Here is a 2,395-nt window from a genome sequence, read left to right on the forward strand (position 1 = left end):
TTTCCTCCACTAGAATTTGGGGTGTCCCAGGCTGTGCAGGGCAGGCCAACAGAGAAGTCCAGGGGGGCTAACGGAAATGAGGAGTTCAAGTATACAGCCTCTCTAATCAATGAGCTGAGACCCCTGTCTATTGTCCTTAAACAAGGCTACATCAAGGTCTGGGTATCCCCAGACGATACCCATTACCCTATACCTAGGAAGAGGAAAGTGTACATTGACACGTCGGAAGCTCTTGCTCAAAACCTGTTTGGAGAGTGCTGGCTTGCTTTCTTATGAAGTGTATTAGTCTGTTCTCCTATGGCTATAAAGAAATACCTGAGACTGGGTAATTTATAAATAAAAGATGTTTAATTGACTCACAGTTCCTCAGGCTGTACAGGAAACATGATGCTGGCATCTGTGTGGCTTCTGGGGAGACCTCAGGAAACTTACAATTATGGCAGAAGATAAAGAGTGAGCAGGCATGTCACAAGACCAGAGCAGGAGCAAAAGAGTGAGGGAGGAGGTGACACACTTTTAAACAACCAGATCTCACAAGCACTCACTCACTATCTCGAGGACAATACCAAGGCGGTGGTGCTAAGTCATTCATAAGAAATCCGCCCCATCATCCAATCACCTCCCACCAGGCCCCACCTCCAACACTGGGGATTACATTTCAATATGAGATTTGGGCAGAGACCCTCGATGTCTTAAGTGAAATAAGAGAATAATGATTGTGTTATATTGTGGACAGACATGTTCTGCCTGGGGAAAGAAATAACAGGACAATCCACTTTCTTCCTGATTGTCACCACATGAAATAGTTACCTGGTTGATCCCACAGAGCTTGGCCATGGACCATACACAAAATATGACTTCCTGATAGCTCGGGGCCCAGGACTTTTCCAAACTTCCAAGAACACCACTCTCAGTGGAAGGCTCGAAGCAGTGCAGGTAAGAGTTGAACATTACTTGGCAATGTATTTGATGGGCAAGAAAGGCACGCTAGGTGTCTGCTTAGGTATCCTGAAATTTCTGAAGTTTATTTTTTAATTTAAAAAAAATTTTTTTTTAGAGAGGGTGTCACTAGGTCACCTAGGCTGGAACACAGTGGCATGATCTTCGCTCACTGCAGCCTCAGCGTGACCTCAGGTGATCCTCTCGTCTTAGCCTCCCAAGTAGCTGGAACTACAGGCATAGGCCACCACACCCAGCTAATTTTTTGTGATTTTTGTATATACAGGATTTTGCCATGTTGCCAAGGCTGGTCTCAAACTTCTGCACTCAAGCATTCTACCTGACTCAGCCTCCTAAAGTGAGTTTCTAAAGCTTTACAATGAAAAAAAAAATCAAAGTCCTGGCTTGCCAAGTGAGGGGAGCCATCTCTACTTTGATGGACACTGAGACATCAGAGAGGTAGCACCTCCCCACCCGGAGGTCCCAGTCAAGGAGACCTGCCTGTCACAATGAAGCCTAAGAAATAAAAATTAAATTCTAAGCCCCCACAACTGACTGAATGAACCATCTCTTGGGCAAGGAGACCCCAACCTTGAAAACTGAGTTCTCAGGTATGACAGTATAGGAGGTTGAACACACCACCTTATACCTCCTTCCTCATAAGCCACCATGAGCCTTTCTTCCCTAAGGGCTAAACAGAAACCAGCCCTTTCAAAAGACCTCACCACTACTGTCAACTAACTGCCTGATGCTGCTCCTCCTTTTTTGCCTAATAAGAGACTACTGACCAGGGAGTGGTTCCAACCAGTCTAATGGGAGAATGCCTATTAAGGGTTTGTGTGTCCTCTGCTTCACCTTTGGGCATCAGATGGCCCAAAACTCCACCCTCAGATCATGCTAACACTGCCATTTTTTTGTGCATGGGACTCCAGAAGTGGCATGAAGTTCAATCGTGTATATTTCTCCTTTTGTAAATATTCATGACTCCTCCTATAGCTTATAGAATATATATATTCAGCTACCATGCTCAGCATAAATTCCTGTTCCCCTTGCCTCTCCCCTAAGGTTTTTGTTGTTGGCTTTTGGCCAGACTCTGCTTCCTAGCCTATCAGAATGGTCACCCTGCAGGCGGCAGTGGTTTATGAGAAATAAAGCTCTCCTTTCCAGATTTATGAACCTTCACATTCTTCAGTTGACAGGCCATATGGACTCTATCACCACCTCTGACTGGCAGGTTCAGACCTACCCCAAGATGCCTTGGGACTTGGCTTGCATGTCTCGTTCAGCATAAGGTCCTCTGCTCCTCGGGTACCTGGTCTGAAGACCCTCTGGGTACAGCTTCCGCAGAGCAAAAAGTGCCTCTGCCATCGGACCATGCTTTCACATCTTACCTGCCTTCTCTGCAACTTCAGTGCCCCTGCCCTCAGCAGAGGGGACAAAACAAGCAGAGTCAGTT

The 2,395-nt window shown here is 46.1% G+C and overlaps 1 annotated feature.

The window, feature by feature from the left end:
- Positions 971-1,131: a silencer, noted in NCBI's record as "fragment chr4:15911215-15911375 (GRCh37/hg19 assembly coordinates)". NCBI's record gives its function as "represses an EF-1alpha promoter that drives an FKBP-Casp9 reporter gene in an ReSE screen in K562 erythroleukemia cells {active_cell/tissue: K562}" and the evidence as "EXISTENCE:reporter gene assay evidence [ECO:0000049][PMID:32094911]".

This window comes from Homo sapiens, chromosome 4 (genome assembly GCF_000001405.40).
Source record: "Homo sapiens chromosome 4, GRCh38.p14 Primary Assembly".
Taxonomy (NCBI): domain Eukaryota; kingdom Metazoa; phylum Chordata; class Mammalia; order Primates; family Hominidae; genus Homo; species Homo sapiens.